This window comes from Homo sapiens, chromosome 8, assembly GCF_000001405.40.
Source record: "Homo sapiens chromosome 8, GRCh38.p14 Primary Assembly".
NCBI classification, from domain to species: domain Eukaryota; kingdom Metazoa; phylum Chordata; class Mammalia; order Primates; family Hominidae; genus Homo; species Homo sapiens.
In genome coordinates, this window is record NC_000008.11 from 130,383,553 (window position 1) to 130,400,872 (window position 17,320).

General features: G+C 44.8%; 1 protein-coding gene across 18 annotated transcripts in view; it reads right to left on the bottom strand.

Annotated features, from left to right (window-relative positions):
* The window catches only part of ASAP1 (ArfGAP with SH3 domain, ankyrin repeat and PH domain 1), a 391,571-nt gene that overhangs the window by 331,449 nt on the left and 42,802 nt on the right, over positions 1-17,320 (bottom strand). For 3 of the 18 annotated variants that reach the window (XM_047421808.1, XM_047421801.1, XM_011517053.2), the window contains exon 1: positions 3,119-3,327. The exons of the other annotated variants lie outside the window; for them this stretch is intronic. The gene's annotated coding sequence lies outside the window, so the exon portion shown is untranslated. Of the gene's footprint in view, positions 1-3,118; positions 3,328-17,320 lie in introns of those variants that run through there. 18 annotated transcript variants of the gene reach the window in all.

Consider the following 17,320-nt stretch of genomic DNA (forward strand, 5'->3'; position numbering starts at 1 on the left):
TAATCTTCACTGCAGTGGCGTGTGGGATCTAATATTATTCCCAGATGAGGAAACGAGGGTCACAGGGATTCGTGGCTTGTCCAAGGCCACACAGCAGGGAGATGTTAGATGGGGGATAATAATGTTTATTATGTTTATGTTTATCTTAATGTTTATGTATGTAGTATCACAACAGAAGACAGAGGCCTGACCACACCAGTGGCATCCCTGGATCCAGGAGAGCCCTGAAGCCAGCACTAGCCTTGGATTTTTCTTTCTTTTCTACCACTTGACACTAAAAGACACCTAACTGATACAGAAGAGCACCAGCCCATTTCTCCCACAGAGGTGAAAGGACTTGCCCATGTCTCCCTCCCCAGCAGTCTGGGTGCTGTAAGAAGGACCCAGGTCTCCTGGCTCCTTTCCAGAACTGGCCACCTGCCCTTCCTACGGTTCATGGTGAAGACTGCCCTTTGTAACGCAGGTCACACTCACCTGAACTCTTATTCTAATGCTTGCATAGGGGAAGCCAGAGTCCTGTAGGATTAAATGTGCTACTGAGATGGCAAGTCAACATCCCACCCTTGCATGGCTCCAGGTCCTCTTTATAACCAAAGGAGATTATGGCAACCCAAGGACAAGACGACCTTCTGAGATGAGATGGAATGACCTCAAGTTACCAGCAGGGAAGGGCCTCGCTGATTAAAATAAAGCACAAACCACTTTCCCCTCCACCATGAGAGAGACCTGCTAGAAGGGGTTATTACACCTTTTCAGATGCAACATCAAAGCTGTCATTGCTATGTAATTTACAGCCTGGTCTGCATACAAGCATCCATTCTGTGTTAGTATGTGCCACCCTCCCCCTCTTCTTACTCAGAGAACCCCACTGCTGGGCAGGGGGCAGAAAGTGGGACATTGGGAGTCAGAAGACGTGGGATTCAGGGAGGATAGTGTGTTTTTTTCAGACGGAGTCTCACTTTGTCTCCCAAGCTGGAGTGCAATGGCGCTATCTTGGCTCACTGCAACCTCCCCCTCGCCGGTTCAAGTGATTCTTGAGCCTTGGCCTCCCGAGTAGCTGGGATTACACAGGCGCCCGCCACCATGCCCGGCTAATGTTTTGTATTTTTAGTAGAGATGGGGTTTCACCATGTTGCCCAGGCTGATCTTGAACTCCTGACCTCAGGTGATCCACTGATAGTGTCTTTTATTATCTGGGGAATGTTGGGCAAGTTACCCTGTCACACTTCACATCCCTCAATGACTCCCCATTGTCCTGTAATTTGTTCTTTCAACAAACATTTACTGACTGTCCACTACATCCTCCAAGCTATGCACTGTGGTGAGCAAGGCCGAGATGACCCCCGCCCTCCTGGAAGTTATAATCTAGTGAGAGAGGCAGAGACTGAACATAAATAAAAGCGAGACAGTGTCCCACGTACATACACACACCATGGCTCTATGGAGGCCGGGGCTTGAGGTCCAAATATTGTCTTTGATCTAACAGGATGAGCTTGAACAAGGAGCTACAAGAGGGGAATGGGAAACATCACCTCCTTCTACTACACAGACATGGCCTGGAGCAATCCCAGAGGCAGAAGGCACGTTGCTAGCTGGTGGTCGCTTGAGGTTCATTTAAAAGAGCCAAGGCAGGCCGGGTGTGGTGGCTCACGCCTGTAATCCCAGCAGTTTGGGAGGCTGAGGTGGGCGGATCACTTGAGGTCAGGAGTTCCAGACCAGCCTGGCCAACATGGTGAAACCCCGTCTCCACTAAAATAAATAAATAAATAAAATAGAGCCAAAGCAGAACAGAGACTTGAGTGTGTCTAATTCCCTCAGCCCCAGAGTTGGTGAATTAAGAGCCAACCGTGGGGCACCTTAGAGTTAGGGCGGGCCTTGTGAGGCCCAAAGCCTCCTCTCCATGGGGAGATGCTGGGTGCTAGAGATTCCTTTCCCAATTTTGTGGCTCAGCGCCCGAGGTGGGGGCGTGCCCAAGAGAGTCTCAGCTTTTCCGACCCGTTACATGGGGATGTTTTCTCAGTTACCAGGTGGGTAGGAATCTCAACTGGTCTCTGACTCTCTCAGAGGGAAGTGATTGGTGAATGGATGTTTATTTGGTGTGTCCACGAGTGGAGGGAGAGTCAGGAGCTTCTCTTCTGCCATGTTGCTGACATCACTCTCCCAACAGAGGCTCTTCAACAGCCCGCTAAGGAAGCTGATTCGAACTTGAGCTACTAACTCTCCCTACATCCAGTTACTTGGTTAGAGGGGTGGGCATTTGCGGTTTTACTTCCCGAGCACCCAGTACTCCTGCCGGTGAATGCATTTCAAATTCCCACTGGGGAGTCCCCCCACATCCTTTGGTTCCTGTGGGTCTCACTTTCAACCTCTCCCTGAAGTCTGGGAATGATCAGGTGACATGGGCTTGTCCAATCAGAATAGTCCATGGCCTTGTCCACAGTGACTGGTACAGGGCTGACCACGTGACCCAAGATAGACCAACGGGAATCAATCCAGAGATTTTGCAAAATCTTCTGGGAAGAAGAGCTCTCTACCTGGTGGGGTCTTTAAACCGGTGGCTTTAGGACCGATGCTTCTGGAAACCATACTTGGAGAACCTGAGAATACAGCCAGTGGAGGAGAAAGCACTAGAGAGGAAGGGGGCGAGAGATTCAGTGGTGATGCAGAGAAAAGGGAGAGACCAAATCTAGGAATCCAGTCATTTCTGGGGCCAGGTTTTACCCCTGGACTCCTCTCTTACCTAAGCCAGTACATTCCCTTCTTGCTTAAGGCAACCTGAATTGGGTTTCTATCACCCAAAACTAAAACTGTGCTGACCACGGAGGTAACACGTTCCATTGCCGAGTCCATAGCTTGAAGCTCTGCCTGCCCCCGCTCCCACACCCTGTCCTGATGAAAAAACACAGCTGGGCACAGCAAATTCAGACTGTGGCCTCAGCCCACAGGGCTGTCGACACAGGGCTAAGCGCTGCGCTCTCCACCCTGTAGATACACAATCGCCACGCGTCGCTTTACTGGTGAAAACTCCATTTCCAGTCTCCTCTTACCAAACTCACATTGTTTGGGAACTTCTGACAACTGTACCTCACTCTGCAGAAACAGTTAGAAGCGGACTCACCTCTGCCGTGGTCTGTGGCTCGGGAGTCTAACAGTCAATTATCTCGCTGCTGATGAAAAGGCAGGAGCGATGAAGACTTAGGGAGCTCACTGCAGCCAGTCGTGCTAATGACCTGTCTGCAGTAACTTTGTAAACCTCCACTTTTAGGTTCATGGCTCAGCCAAAAACTGTCACTCCACACTTCAGCTTGGCAAGCATGTTTGCACCGTGGAAGTGACGTCCTTGTTGCCGTGGTTACCAACGCTCAAGAAAACCTTTGTAGCTGTTTATAAGCACCAAACCCCAAATATTTGCAGAGAACCCCTTTCAGGAGCTTGTGGCACTATGGTGACTCACAAAAAGTTATCCCACGTTTTGTTCTTTATTTTCTTAAAAACAGAGAAAATTGTTCTCTCCTCAAATCTGTAAAATGCATTAGCTCACAGTTTCCATTTTAAACCGAAATCAAACCTGCTTTCATATGAATTGGGTATCCAAGGCTGCTGTTTTTCTTAAGAGAATCTCAGTAAATCCTAACACTCTGGATGACCCAGGAAGAAGAAATGTGAAAATGGAGACCAAGGCCCATTAAAAAACCCAGGTCCGGCGAAAGTGGTGGCTCACACCTGTAATCCCGGCATTTGGGGAGGCCGAGGTGGGCAGATCACTTGAGATCAGGAGTTTGAGACCAGGCTGGGTAACATGGCAAAACCTCGTCCCTACTCAAAATACAAAAATTAGCTGAGCATGGTGGCGCTCGCCTGTAATCCCACTTACTTGGGAGGCTGAGGCAGGAGAATCACTTGGACCCAGGAGGTGGAGGTTGCAATGAGCCAAGATTACACCACTGCACTCCAGCCTGGGTGACAGAGTGAGACTCCATCAAGAAAGAAAAAAAAAAAAAAGCACAGGTCCCAACCAATTTTTTAACTACTTGTATACATATATCAAAATTGTCTAATGTACCACTACACTCCAGCCTGGATGACAGAGCGAGACTCCATCTCAGAAAAAAAAAAAAAAAGCCCAAGTCCCAACCAACTTTTTAACCACTTGTATATATATATGAAAATTGTCTAGTCCATGAAAGGATTCTACAAATAACAGGCCTAGAATTGGTATTTTATGCTCATGGTTGACTTAGCAGCAGCCATTGATTTTATTTCAACAACAATACATATTTACTGAACATCTATGTACCAGACTCTGTGCCTGGCACTGGAGTAACTTTAGCAGATGAGCAGCCATCAGTGACCTTGTCCATTAGGAGCTTATAGTCTGGTGGGGGTGGCAGACATACACAAGAGAACAAACAATTCCAGATTGTTACAACTGCTAGGAAGAAAACATACGGGGAGCAACCAAAGAGAATAAAGGCTAGAGTGGCTAGGAAGATCTGTCTGAGGACATAGCATTTAAGCTGAGACTTCAGGATGTGACGACCATGGAGTGGGGGACAGGAGGTACAGGGACAAGGCCCTGGAGGCAGAAGAAGAGCATGAAGCAGGGTCCTGAGACAGGATAGCACTTGCTGAGTGTGAGGAACAGAACGGAGGCCAATGTGCTGAAGCCTCTTGGGGAAACGGGGTGGAGGCAGAGGAGGGTACAGAGATAGGCAGGGGCTAGATCATGCTAGTCTTTGTAGGCCACGGTAAGAAATCTGAATTTCATTCTAAGTAAAATGGGCAGGGGTCTTGGAGATCAGCGGTGGCTGTAAGCAGGGGTGCAGCATGAGCTGCAAGAGGAGTGAGGAGAATAATCCATGTTGGACATATTAAGTTTGAGAGGCCTGCTAGACTTCCAAATGGGGATATTAATTAGGCATTTCAGATCATCAAGTCTGGAACTCAGAGGACAGATTCAGCTGGAGATAAAATTTGTAAGCATATAATATAATTTGCATGTCTGTATAATTTGCATGCAGACATCTTCAAAAATATTTAGAGGTAAGTTGGAGCAAGGGGTGCCCAACTGAGAGACTGAGAGGGTAGAGTCACAAGAAGAAATCCAAGCCGGCTTGGTGTCATAGAAGCCAAAAGAAAACCGTGTTTTTAGAGGAAGGGAGTGATCAACTGGGTCAGATGATTCGCAGAAGCTGAGTTGACTTACAGATTAATTCCAAAGCTTTGAGATTTAGAGCTAGGGCTTGGGGGAGGGGATGAAAGGATCATCTTAACAGGCTTTCCTTAGAGCCTGGGGATAATATAGTAGCACACGGAGTAAAAGTGAAAACTGCAGGCTCCAGGGCCAGACTCCCTGCAGCCAAGTTCCACTTCTGCCACTGACCAGCAATGTGGCCTTAAATAATTTTCCAAACCTCTGTGAGCTTTAGTTTGTCTTTACAATGGAAATAACAATACTATCTACTCACAGGATTGTTGTAAGGATTGAATGAGTTAATAAACAGCAAGTGCTTAGAAGAAAGGGCCTGGCTCACGTTAAATGCTCTGTGAGCATTAGCTATTAGTATTGTTGTTGCTGCTGTTGTTGTTGTTACAATAATGAATACTTAGTGCCAAGTGCTGGGTTTTACATGTATTGTCTCAGGTAGAAGCTACTGTTATACCCATTTTGCAGATAAGGAAACTTGCCTAGCACCACCCAGTAAGCTCTAGGGTGGAGACTGCCTTCCTGCCAGGTCAGACAGCCTGTTTTTAATCACTACTCTGCAGTTCCGCCATGTGATGCCAAGATGGCTGGTTAAAGTCCAGGACAAGGGAAAAAATGGCTGACTAATGCACTAATTGTGTTTCTGCTTCAACCTGCATTTCCAGAGGTGCCTGTTGGTCTGTAATTGGTTCTGGCATGTTTATAGGTATTACAAAACCAAATCTTATTTTGCATTTCACAGGATTTAAGATGAATAAAGTGATGTGGTTGTGCTAGGTTAGAGTTGTACAAATTATACTCCAAGAAACCCCAGTTCCTTCCCCAGAGAGGGTAGAGTGTGATCCCCTAACGTGTATAAAGTTCTGGTACCAGCCAGAACTACCTAAGCTGGAACAACTCTACTCTCTGTTCTATACACTGAGCTCTTTAGCTTTCTTTTTATTTATTTATTTTTTTCCTGAGACAGGGTCTCCTTCCGTTGCCTAGGCTGGAGTGCAGTGGCACAGTCACGGCTCACTGCGGCCTCAACTTTCCAGGCTCAAGCAATCCTTCCACCTCAGCCTCCCAACTACCTGGGACTATAGGTGTGTGCTACTATGCCCAGCTAAATTTTTTTTTCGTAGAGACAGGGTCCCATTATGTTGCCCAGGCTTTAAGCTTTCATTTGAAGAAAATATTCTGAGGATACAAAAGCTTGAAAACCACAAGACTTGGCATTTCTCAAACTACGTCTGCATCAGAATCACCTGTGGTGGTTGTTAAAATGCAGGTTCCTTGACCCTACTACAACTTAAAGAATTAGAAACACTAAAGGGAGGGCCTGAGAATCTGATTTTTAACAGCTCCCCAGGTGACCCACATGCATATTCAAGCATGAGAACCAGGAAAGAATGCTCACTATTACCTCGCTTTACCTCTCTGTCTCACACAGTAGCCACTACCTATAGCTAACTTCAATTTAAACATAAATTCCCTAAAATTATATGAACTTTATAAGTTTCTCAGTTGTACGAAGCACATTTTAAGTGCTCAAAAGCCACATGTGGCAGACACAGAATATTTCCATTTCATAGAAAGTTCTACTGGAAAGTCTACAAGTCCCTTCCAGCCTAAACAATCTAGGAATCTCAGACTGCCTGAATGATGTACTCATGTGTTTTATACTAAGGCACCAAACTCAGTCAAGATTTCCCGGAATCTTCAACTGTATTTAAGGCATAATATGCTATTAGGAATATATGATTACACCTACCATACTGGACTGAAATTACCTGTTAGATATCTATTTCCCCTGACATACTCTGAGTGCCGTGAAGGCAGGTACCATGCATGTATTATTTAGGTCTGTATTCTCAGTGCCTAGGGCTTAAATAAATGCTTGGAGACTGTTTAATTGGGCCACACAACCTAAGTGAAATACAAAGCTGAAAATGGAATGTCCTCGCTAAAGGCATTCACCAGTTACAAGCATTCATACCTACTAGGATGGCTACTATCACAAAAACAGAAAATAACAAGTGTTGGTGACGATATGGAGACATGGGAACTCTTGTGCACTATTGGTGGGAATGTAAACTGGTACAGAATGTAAAATGGAAAACAGCCTGGCTGTTCCTCAAAAAAGTAAACATGGAATTATTGTATAATCCAGCAATTCCACTTCTGGGTATATATCCCCCGCCCCCCCAAAATTGAAAGCAGGATCTGGAGCTATTTGTATACCCATATTCATAGCAGCATAATTCATAACAACCAAAAGGTAGAAGCAAACACGTATTCATCCACGGATGACTGGATAAACAAAATATGATATGTACATACAATGGAATGTTATTTAGCCTCAAAAATGAAGGAAATTTTGATACATGGTATAATAAGGATGAACCTTGAGGACATTATGTTAAGTAAGGCAGTAACAAAAAGACAAATATTGTATGATTCCACTTATAAAAGATACCTAGAGTAGTCAAATTCATACAGACAGAAAGTAGAATGGTTATTTCCAGGGATGGGAAGGGAGAGGGAAGAGAAGGAGTTGTCATTTGATGGGTACAGAATTTCAATTTTGCAAGATGAAAAGAATTCTGGAGATGGATTTCGCGGCAATGGTTGCACAACAATGTGAACATACTTAATGCCACTGAATTGTTCTTAAAAACAGTTAACAATAGTAATTTTTATGTTATGCATACTTCACCACAATTAAAATATTTTAAAATAAAGATTTTTTAAAAAGCATTCACTACTACCAACCAGAGAAAATATATCAGTCCTCATGGCTTTGAGAAAATAGCTTTGGAAAAACTTTGGTTCTCAATCTATCCTGCTGCACCTAGGCAGGTACTAGGGGACAGGAGAGGTCAATGCCAAGGTGAGACATGCAGGCACTATCACAGGGCTGACCAATGCATGCATGGTTCCCGCCTTCAAGGCACTCAGAGTATGTCAGTGGCAATAGATATCTAACAGGTCATTTCAGTCCAATACAGTAAATGTAATAATGTATTCTTAGATAGCACATTATACCTTTTTAGAGAGAGCTCCTGTGACAATCCCAGGCCAGAGGGACCCCCTCCTGGGTTCTCTCAAACAGGAAGCACTCACAGTCCTCACACATGGTCCCCTACCAGGCTGATCACCAGAACCCCTGGAAAGGCTTCACCCTGTGGGTTCTGATTCCACATCTAGTGGTACAACAAAGACCATCTTTATTTTTGCAAAGTTGTGCAGGGGGAGCCAGACCTGGGAGCGCCTAATCTATAGCACTTACGTTCTGCCTCATGCCACTGCTTGTCCCATCTTCTCATCTGGTTTGCAGACTTCTTGAGGGGAAAGACTGTAACTTATATATCAACCTTGAGAGTCAAAATCATTTGTGGAATAGTTTTTAAGACTGCAGATGCCTGGGACTCACCACACATCTACTGAATCAGCATCTCTAAGCATCTGTTTTTTAAAAAGCCCCCAAAAGGGACTCTCATACACACTCCTAAAGGGAGACCTGCTGCCTTAGAGACTATCAGAGTGCTTGATACAGAGAAGCTGTGCAATGTTTGCTGACAGACAAAAGGAAGTCCCTTTGAATAAGACATCTAACAGGGAAAAGGGATGTGCATTCATCTGTGTTACTTATTCTAATCTTTTTCTATGAATATTCTGCACATGGTTTAGACCACATGATAAATAACTAACAATAACAATTAGTATTTAGTAAGCACCTAATATGTGCCAAGTACTATTCATGTGTTTTAGAGGTACTATCCCATTTAATTCTCAAAACAATCGTATGTATGAGGAAAGTACTGTTATCATCTCCATTTTATAGATAAGGAAGCTGAGTGTCTCAGTCCATTTGTCCTGCTCTAATGGAATAACTGAAGCTGGGTAATTAATAAAGAAAAGAGGTTTATTTGGCTCTTGGTTCTGCAGGTTGCACAAGAAGCCAGCACCTGCTTCTGTGAGGGCCTCAGGTTGCTTCAACTCGTGGCAGAAGGGGAAGGGGAGCCAGCATGTGCAGAGATCAGATGGTGAGAGAAGGAGGTGGGGGAGGGGCTGGGATCTTTTAAACAAACAGTTGTCACGGGAACTAACAGAGTGAGAACTCATTCATGAGGGATCCGCCTCCATGACCCAAACATTTCCCATCAGGCCCCACCTTCAAAATTGGGGATCACATTTCAACATGAGGTTTAGAGGGGTCAAATATCCAAACCATGGCACCGAGGCACACAGAAATTAAGTCACTTCCTCAAAAATAAACCTTTTTTTTAACATGACAGTTATATTATGAGTGTTCTCATAACTTATCTTCTTTTTAATGGCTGCATTATTTTACCCTAATTTGTTTTTCATCCTTCTGCCCCTAATTTGTTAACCCACTGCTCATTGTAGAGCAGGATTTTATCTTGTTTGTAGCGGTTTACCATTTTAAATGATGCTCCAATGGATATCTTTGTGCAAGGGCTGTTTGCCATATTCCTGAAAAACTTGCCTTAGGAAAATCATGAGGAAATGTTCTGATGGTGAACAGTGCTAAACAGTGAGCATGAGTCTTTACTGAGGGGAATGTGCTGAATGGGCCAGGGAAGCCCTTCTCCCTGGAAGGTATTAAAAGTCTTGGAATACTCCCACAAACAAGCAGCAAACATTTACTGTGGGCCTGGTACTCTTTTAAACATTTGATCCCACCTGGCCCTCACAAAGACTCCTAGGAAGGCCAAGCACAGTGGCTCATGCCTGTAGTCCCAGCACTTTGGGAGGCCAAGGCGGGCAGATCACTTGAGGTCAGGAGTTCAAGAACAGCCTGACCAACATGGTGAAACCCCATCTCCACTAAAAATACAAAAATTAGCCAGGCATGGTGGCACACACCTGTAATCCCAGCTGCTCGGGAGGCTGAGGCATGAGAATCACTTGAACCCAGGAGGCAGAGATTGCAGTGGGCCAAGATCTCACCACTGCACTCCAGACTGGGTGACAGAGCGAGACTCTGTGTTGCGGGAAGTCAGGGACCCCAAACAGAGGGACCAGCTGAAGCCGTGGCAGAAGAACATAAATTGTGAAGATTTCATGGACATTTATTAGATCCCCAAATTAATACTTTTATAATTTCTTACATCTGTCTTTACTGTAATCTCTGAACATAAATTGTGAAGATTTCATGGACACTTATCACTTCCCCAATCAATACCCTTGTGATTTCCTATGCCTGTCTTTACTTTAATCTCTTAATCTCATCATTTTCATAAGCTGAGGAGGATGTATGTCAACTCAGGACCCTGTGATGATTGCATTAACTGCACAAATTGTTTGTAGAGCATGTGTGTTTGAACAATATGAAATCTGGGCACCTTGAAAAAAGAACAGGATAACAGCAATGTTCAGGGAACAAGAGAGATAACCTTAAACTTTGACCACCGGTGAGCTGGGCGGAACAGAGCCATATTTCTCTTCTTTCAAAAGCAAATGGGAGAAATATCGCTGAATTCTTTTTCTCAGCAAGGAACATCCCTGAGAAAGAGAATGCGCCCCTGAGGGTAGGTCTCTGAAATGGCCCCCTTGGGTGTGGCCATCTTCTATGGTCGAGACTGTAGGGATGAAATAAGCCCCAGACTCCCATAGCGCTCCCAGGCTTATTAGGACAGGAAATTCCCGCCTAATAAATTTTGGTCAGACCGGTTGCTCTCAAACATGTTATCAATGACAATGGTGCCCAAAACTTTATTAGCAATTTTAATGTCGTCCCGGTCCTGTGGTCCTGTGATCTCACCCTGCCTCCATTTGCCTTGTGATATTCTATTACCTTGTAAAGTATGCGATCTCTGTGACCCACACCCTATTCGTACACTCCCTCCCCTTTTGAAAATCCCTAATAAAAACTTGCTGGTTTTGCGGCTTGTGGGGCATCACGGAACCTACCTACATGTGATGTCTCCCCAGGACACCCAGCTTTAAAATTTCTCTCTTTTGTACTCTGTCTCTTTATTTCTCAACCCGGCCAACGCTTAGGGAAAACAGAAAAGAACCTACGTGACTATCAGGGGCAGGTTCCCTGATAACTCTGTCTCAAAACAAACAAACAAACTCCTAAGGGGTACAGATGAGATGCCTGGAGGCACAGAGAGGAGGAAATGTATCCAGGCTCACATGACCAGCAAACAGCAGAACCAGGAGAGGAGCCTGGTTTAACCACTTTACCCACCAGGCCCAGCTTTCCAATCAAGGTATTCTTTCCCCATGACTCCCTCATCAACCATCAGCATAAGAAGCAAAAACTAAGGACAGTAGCAAGAAAGAGCATTTCCCATCAACCAGGGACCACACAAGAATGTCCCTGCCGCAGCACAAGAAAAACATCCGTCTCACTTCCCTGGCAAGAAATCTGGAAGCACTCACTCAGAGTAACACAGAGTTCCTGCCCTCAAGGTGCTCACCCTTTAGATGCTGAGATAAAGTGGAAAGAAAGGGAAGGCAACAACAAGGCCCACCATGCACCAGGTACTGTGGGCGCTTTCTAATATTACATACGTTTGACACGTCCTCTTGCAAAAAGTGGAGATCTTAGCCACCCCCTCATCCATGAATGTGGACTTATTTGGAAATAGGGTCTTTGCAGATATAATTAAGGTGGTGATTAAGATGAGGTCACATGGGAGAAGGGCAGTCCCGCAATCCAGTATGACTGCTGTCCTTGTAAGAGAGAAGAGAGGCACACAGGCAGAATGCCGCAGGACAACACAGGCAGGAACTGGAGTGATGAGGCTGCAAGCTGAGGAACATCAACGACTGCTGGTGACACCAGACACTACGAAGAGGCAAGGAAGGATTCTCCCCTACAGGTTTCAGAGGAAGCACGACACTGCCAACACGTTGATCTTGAACTTCTGGCCTCCAAACTGTGAGACAATACATTTCTTTTTTTTTTTGAGACAGAGTCTCACTCTGTCACACAGGCTGGAGTGCAGTGATGTGACCTCGGCTCACTGCAACCTCCACCTCCCAGGTTCAAGCGATTCTCCTGCCTCAGCCTCCCGAGGGGCTGGGATTACAGGCACCCGCCACTACGCCCAGCTAATTTTGTATTTTTAGTAGAGATGGGGTTTCACTATGTTAGCTAGGCTGATCTCGAACTCCTGATCTTAGGTAATCCGCCCGCCTCCGTCTCCCAAAGTGCTGGGATTATAGGTGTGAGCCACCGCGCCTGGCCATATTTCTGTTGTTTTAAGCCACCAAGTTTGTGGTACTTTGTCACAGCAGCCCTAGGAAACTAATGGAACATTTTCTAGTCTTTTAGCTCCATCAAAGCAGAAGCTGTTTTTGTTTCCCTTGATATCCTGGCAGCTTGCACAGACCCTGGCACTTAGTAGGTCGTCAGAAAAGTGATCAAAAAATAAAGTATACATGTAGTAAAAGGAGGAACCATGTTTTTTATCTCTACTAAGAGACTTGAGCAAATTAGATGCTCAGGAAACATTTGTAGAATGAATACGTTTTCTAAAAACAAATGAAGGATAAGCTCAAGAAGGCTTTGCCATGAGTCTTATTCATGTATTTCCCCAGGTTTGAGTGTAGGACCTGGCACACAGTCGCTGCTTAATAAATTTTAAAGGCAGGGAGGGAAAAATGAAGGGAGGGAGGAAGACAAGACCAGCATCATCACTTCCCATCTCTCAGTTTAGCCATAACCTTCCTTCCTTTATGTATTTAACTGAAGTATAGTCAATGCTGTGAAACAACCAGTTGAATTTTAAATAGACTCAATTATTTTGAAAGGATTTTCGCAGCAGAACTTGAATACTGTTTTTCTAAAACACATTTCTTTTTCTTTTACATCCAGAAATCACAAGGCTTCCTAACCCTTCCAACTATGTTAGCAATGCAGAGTTGAGAGGTCAGCCTTCTGCATTCAGCTCCAGGGACACGTTTCCCGTCCATGTGCAGCATGCATTCCTGATCCCTGCCCTGCAGCCAAAAAGGGACATCAGCTGGGCTCAGGGAAATTCAATTTGGGCTGACAGCCTGTGGCATGATAATGACAGGGCGTCTGCTTGACATTTGGAAAGGCAAAAGAGGGAGGAGGAGTCACAGAGGTTTCTCATGGGCTTGGTTGAGGAGGGTCTAAAGTTTAGGTCACTTCTTTTCTACATATGGAGAAAAACCTGAACATAAGGCCAACTGATTTCTACTGCTGGCTCAGAATTCAGCATTCAATTCCACTTCCATGTGCTGCGCTCCTGTCTCCCTTATGGTATTTGGGGTGAATAAAGGAAACGGGTCTTGTTCTTTATTCCCTTGGACTTGAGTTTTCCCAGGGATGACAACCGCATTGCTGTGGACTGTGATTTTATTCATTCATTCATTCATTCACATATTTATGAGAATTTTGTTGTTGTTGTTGTTAAGAAAGAGTCTAGTTCTGTTGCCCAGACTGGAGTGCAATGGCACGATCTCAGCTCACTGCAACCTCTGCCTCCCAGGTTCAAGCAATTCTCATGCCTCAGCCTCCCAAGCAGCTGGGACTACAGGCGCCCACCACCATACCTGGCTAATTTTTGTATTTTTAGTAGAGACAGGGTTTCGCCATGTTGGCCAGGCTGGTCTCAAACTCCTGGCCTCAGGTGATCCGCCAGCCTTCGCCTCCCAAAGTGCTAGGATTACAGGCATGAGCCACCATGCCCAGCCCGTATATTTATTTTAAATAAGAGGTCCCTGTATACACGTCTTCATAAGTGAAGTCTCTGCTCCTGTGATTCCCTTGTCTTCTACTGAACTCACAAGGGCGAGCACTTGCCTACCCCATGGAACATCAGGTAGGTTCACAACTATGACAGTGACAACAAGACAAGAAAAGCTGACCCCTTCTTAGTGCCAGTTAAGCAAAGGATGGGGGGAACTGCTTTATATTTCTTGATGTAGCCCTCCTGTGGTCAGCTTACCCACTGATGTGGGAACTTTTCCCCCATCAAAGGGGTTGGTTGAGAAGCACATCTGTGTTATTTCAGCAGATGAGCCTGTGGGGCTGGGTTAGCTTCCATGCCCCTCCTGTGGCCCCAGGGCATCCCATACTGAACCTAACCTGGTGGCTGGTAATCTGAATGGTATTTACCTCTTTCCTTTTCCTCTAGATAAGAAGCCCCATGAGGGCAGGGTCATGTCTACAGCATGGACCTTTGTATCCCAGGCATCCTAGCCAGGTTACTGGCACATAAGTAATAAGCAGTTATCAATACAAGTTAGATGAATGAATCAATCAGTCAGTCAGAGGACTAAAGGTGCTGGCCTTGTGTTACAGCTAAGAGCACAGGCTTTGGAATCAGGCGAGTGTAGGTTTCACTCATGTTCCACCACTTTTCAGCTACATGACATGTTTTTATTGACATATAAGATACATACACAAAATTATCTATGTCATAAGTGTGTCATGCAAGGAACTTTTACACTAATGAAACATCACCCAGATCAGGAAACAGCACATTAGCACAACCACAGAAACCTGCCTTATGCTTCCTTCAAGTCGCTATCCCCTACCCACCCAAGGGTAGACCATGAATGGCATCTGACAAGTTACTATCCTCTCTGACTCTTATCTTCTATTGGGAAAAATAGTACTTACTATGCTATGAGTATACAATTTAAAAATAATAATGGTATAGTAGTAATAATAGTAGAAGAGAAGTAGAAGTAGTCACAACAGTAGTAGCAGCAGCAGAAGTGACAGTAGAAGCAGTAGTGGTAATATTAGTAGAAGCAGCAGTCATGGTAAGAGTAAAAGTATTAATAGTAATAAGTAACAGAAGTAGCAGTAGTCATATCAGAAGTGGCAGTAGCAGTAGTAGTAGAAGTACTAGAGAGATACTACTAGCAATAGTAGTAGTCATAATAGCTAGAACTTATATAGCACTTACCATGTACCAGGCACTGTTCCAAGTGCTTTAGCTTAACTCAACTAGTGCTCAAAACAACCCTTGTAAGTCTATAAAACAGGAGAGAACAGGAAGAAGCCGAGGCACAGAGAAGTTAAGTAGCTTTTCAACAAGGTCACAGAACTACGAAACCATGGATCCAGAATGCAAACTCCAGCAGGCTGGCTGCAGAGCCTATCCTGTCAGCACGATCTTTCAAGAATGAGTAGTGTGGAGGAAAAGATTTGTCCTCCAATATCTGCTCTCTTCTTCTATAACAATAACTCTCAATTTGGTAAGCACACAGTCTTGCAGAATAAAGATTACACTTCCCAGCCTTCTTTGCCGCAAAATGTAGCCAGAGAACTAAATTCTGGCCAGTAGAATATAAGTAGGAACAGGAGGTGCAACTTCCAGGAAACATCCTTAAAGGATGGGACGTGCCTTTCTCTGTCTCGTTCCTTCCTCCTGCTGTTAGATGTGATGGCTAGAGCAGAAGCAGCTAAAATGGGGCTGTGAGGTGACCTTGGGAATAGAGGTTCACATGGCAAACAAACTAGAGAAAAAGCCCAGGTCTCTCACAGATTGCTGTAGAAAATCTGTGTTACTTGTACCTGAACTTTTAGGTAAGAGAGACACTTCTCTAAGCCAATGTTCTTTTAGATTTTATGTCATTGTCAGCAAAACCTAATTCTAATAATGCACTGAGTTATTGCAATTATAATTAATATCACCTGAAAAGATACCTGCAAAATGAATGCCATTTTGTGCTGGACTCTTGACTTAAAAAAAGAAAAAAACAAAATAAACATGACTTTGGGTAATCCTATAATAGAAAAATTTTGAAAATAAAAGTAAAGCTTCATTTACCCTGGAAGGCGGTATCATGTCTCGATCATATCAAAAGCCTCTCAGGTTGGCCTCTCTGCCTCCAGCCTCTCACTTCATCCACCCATTCAGGACACATTTGCTTATCTAATCATCCTTTAAAAACTATTTTCAACCTAAAAATTGAAGTAATTACAATGCCCTATGTGCCTACTTTATGTAAAACACTTTACATTTTTTCTAAACTACACAAAAAAAATCTGAAACATAAATATTACCCCTTTTTCATGGATAAGAAAACAGAAGAAACAGAGAAAGTCAGTGTCTTTTTTTTTTTTTTTTTTTGAGACAGAGTTTCGCTCTTGTTGCCCAGGCTGGAGTAGTACAATGGCGCAATCTCGGCTCACCAAAACCTCTGCCTCGCGGGTTCAAGAGATTCTCCTGCCTCAGCCTCCCAAGTAGCTGGGATTACAGGCATGTGCCACCATGCCCAGCTAATTTTGTCTTTTTTAGTACAGACAGAGTTTCTCCATGTTGCTTAGGCTGGTCTCGAACTCCCAACCTCAGGTGATCCGCCCACCTCGGCCTCCCAAAGTGCTGGGATTACAGGCGTGAGCCATCGCGCCTGGCCGAAAGCCGGTGTCTTGTGTGAGATCACACAGCAAATCAGTGCCAGGGCCAGGATTCAACCACCCCTTCTAGCACCCACACACTTTCCACTACGCGGACTTCTTAGAAACCCTGGCCCCAACAGGTCAACCCTGTGCCAGTCAGTCTGCCAGCTTTTTAAGATTCTCAGACTCTACAAGTTTTCCCGGCCTAGCTTTTCATGGTTCTTCCTGTCCAGTCTAATTTTTATCATCCTCTAACACAAACTTTCATCCACTGAGGCCAGACTCCTTAGACTCTTCATCATGTGTCCCTACACCAGGCCTCAGTATTCCCAGCTGCAAAATGGAATAAATCATATCTCTACCTCTCCCAAGAGGTAACGTGGCATAGGAAAAAAAAAAAGGCCAGGTGGGCACGGTGGCTCACGCCTGTAATCCAGCACTTTGGGAGGCCGAGGCGGGCAGATCACGAGGTCAGGAGATCAAGACCATCCTGGCTAACACGGTGAAACCCGTCTCTACTAAAAAAAAATACAAAAAAATTAGCTGGGCGTGATGGCAGGCGCCTGTAGTCCCAGCTACTTGGGAGGCTGAGGCAGGAGAATGGCGTGAAGCCGGGAGGCGGAGCTTGCAGTGAGCCGAGATAGCGCCACTGCGCTCCAGCCTGGGCAACAGAGCCAGACTCCGTCTCAAAAAAAAAAAAAAAAGGCAAGGGTCCTGCAGTAAGGGAAAATTGACTTACATCTAGCTGGGCAAGTTCTTTACCCGTAAAA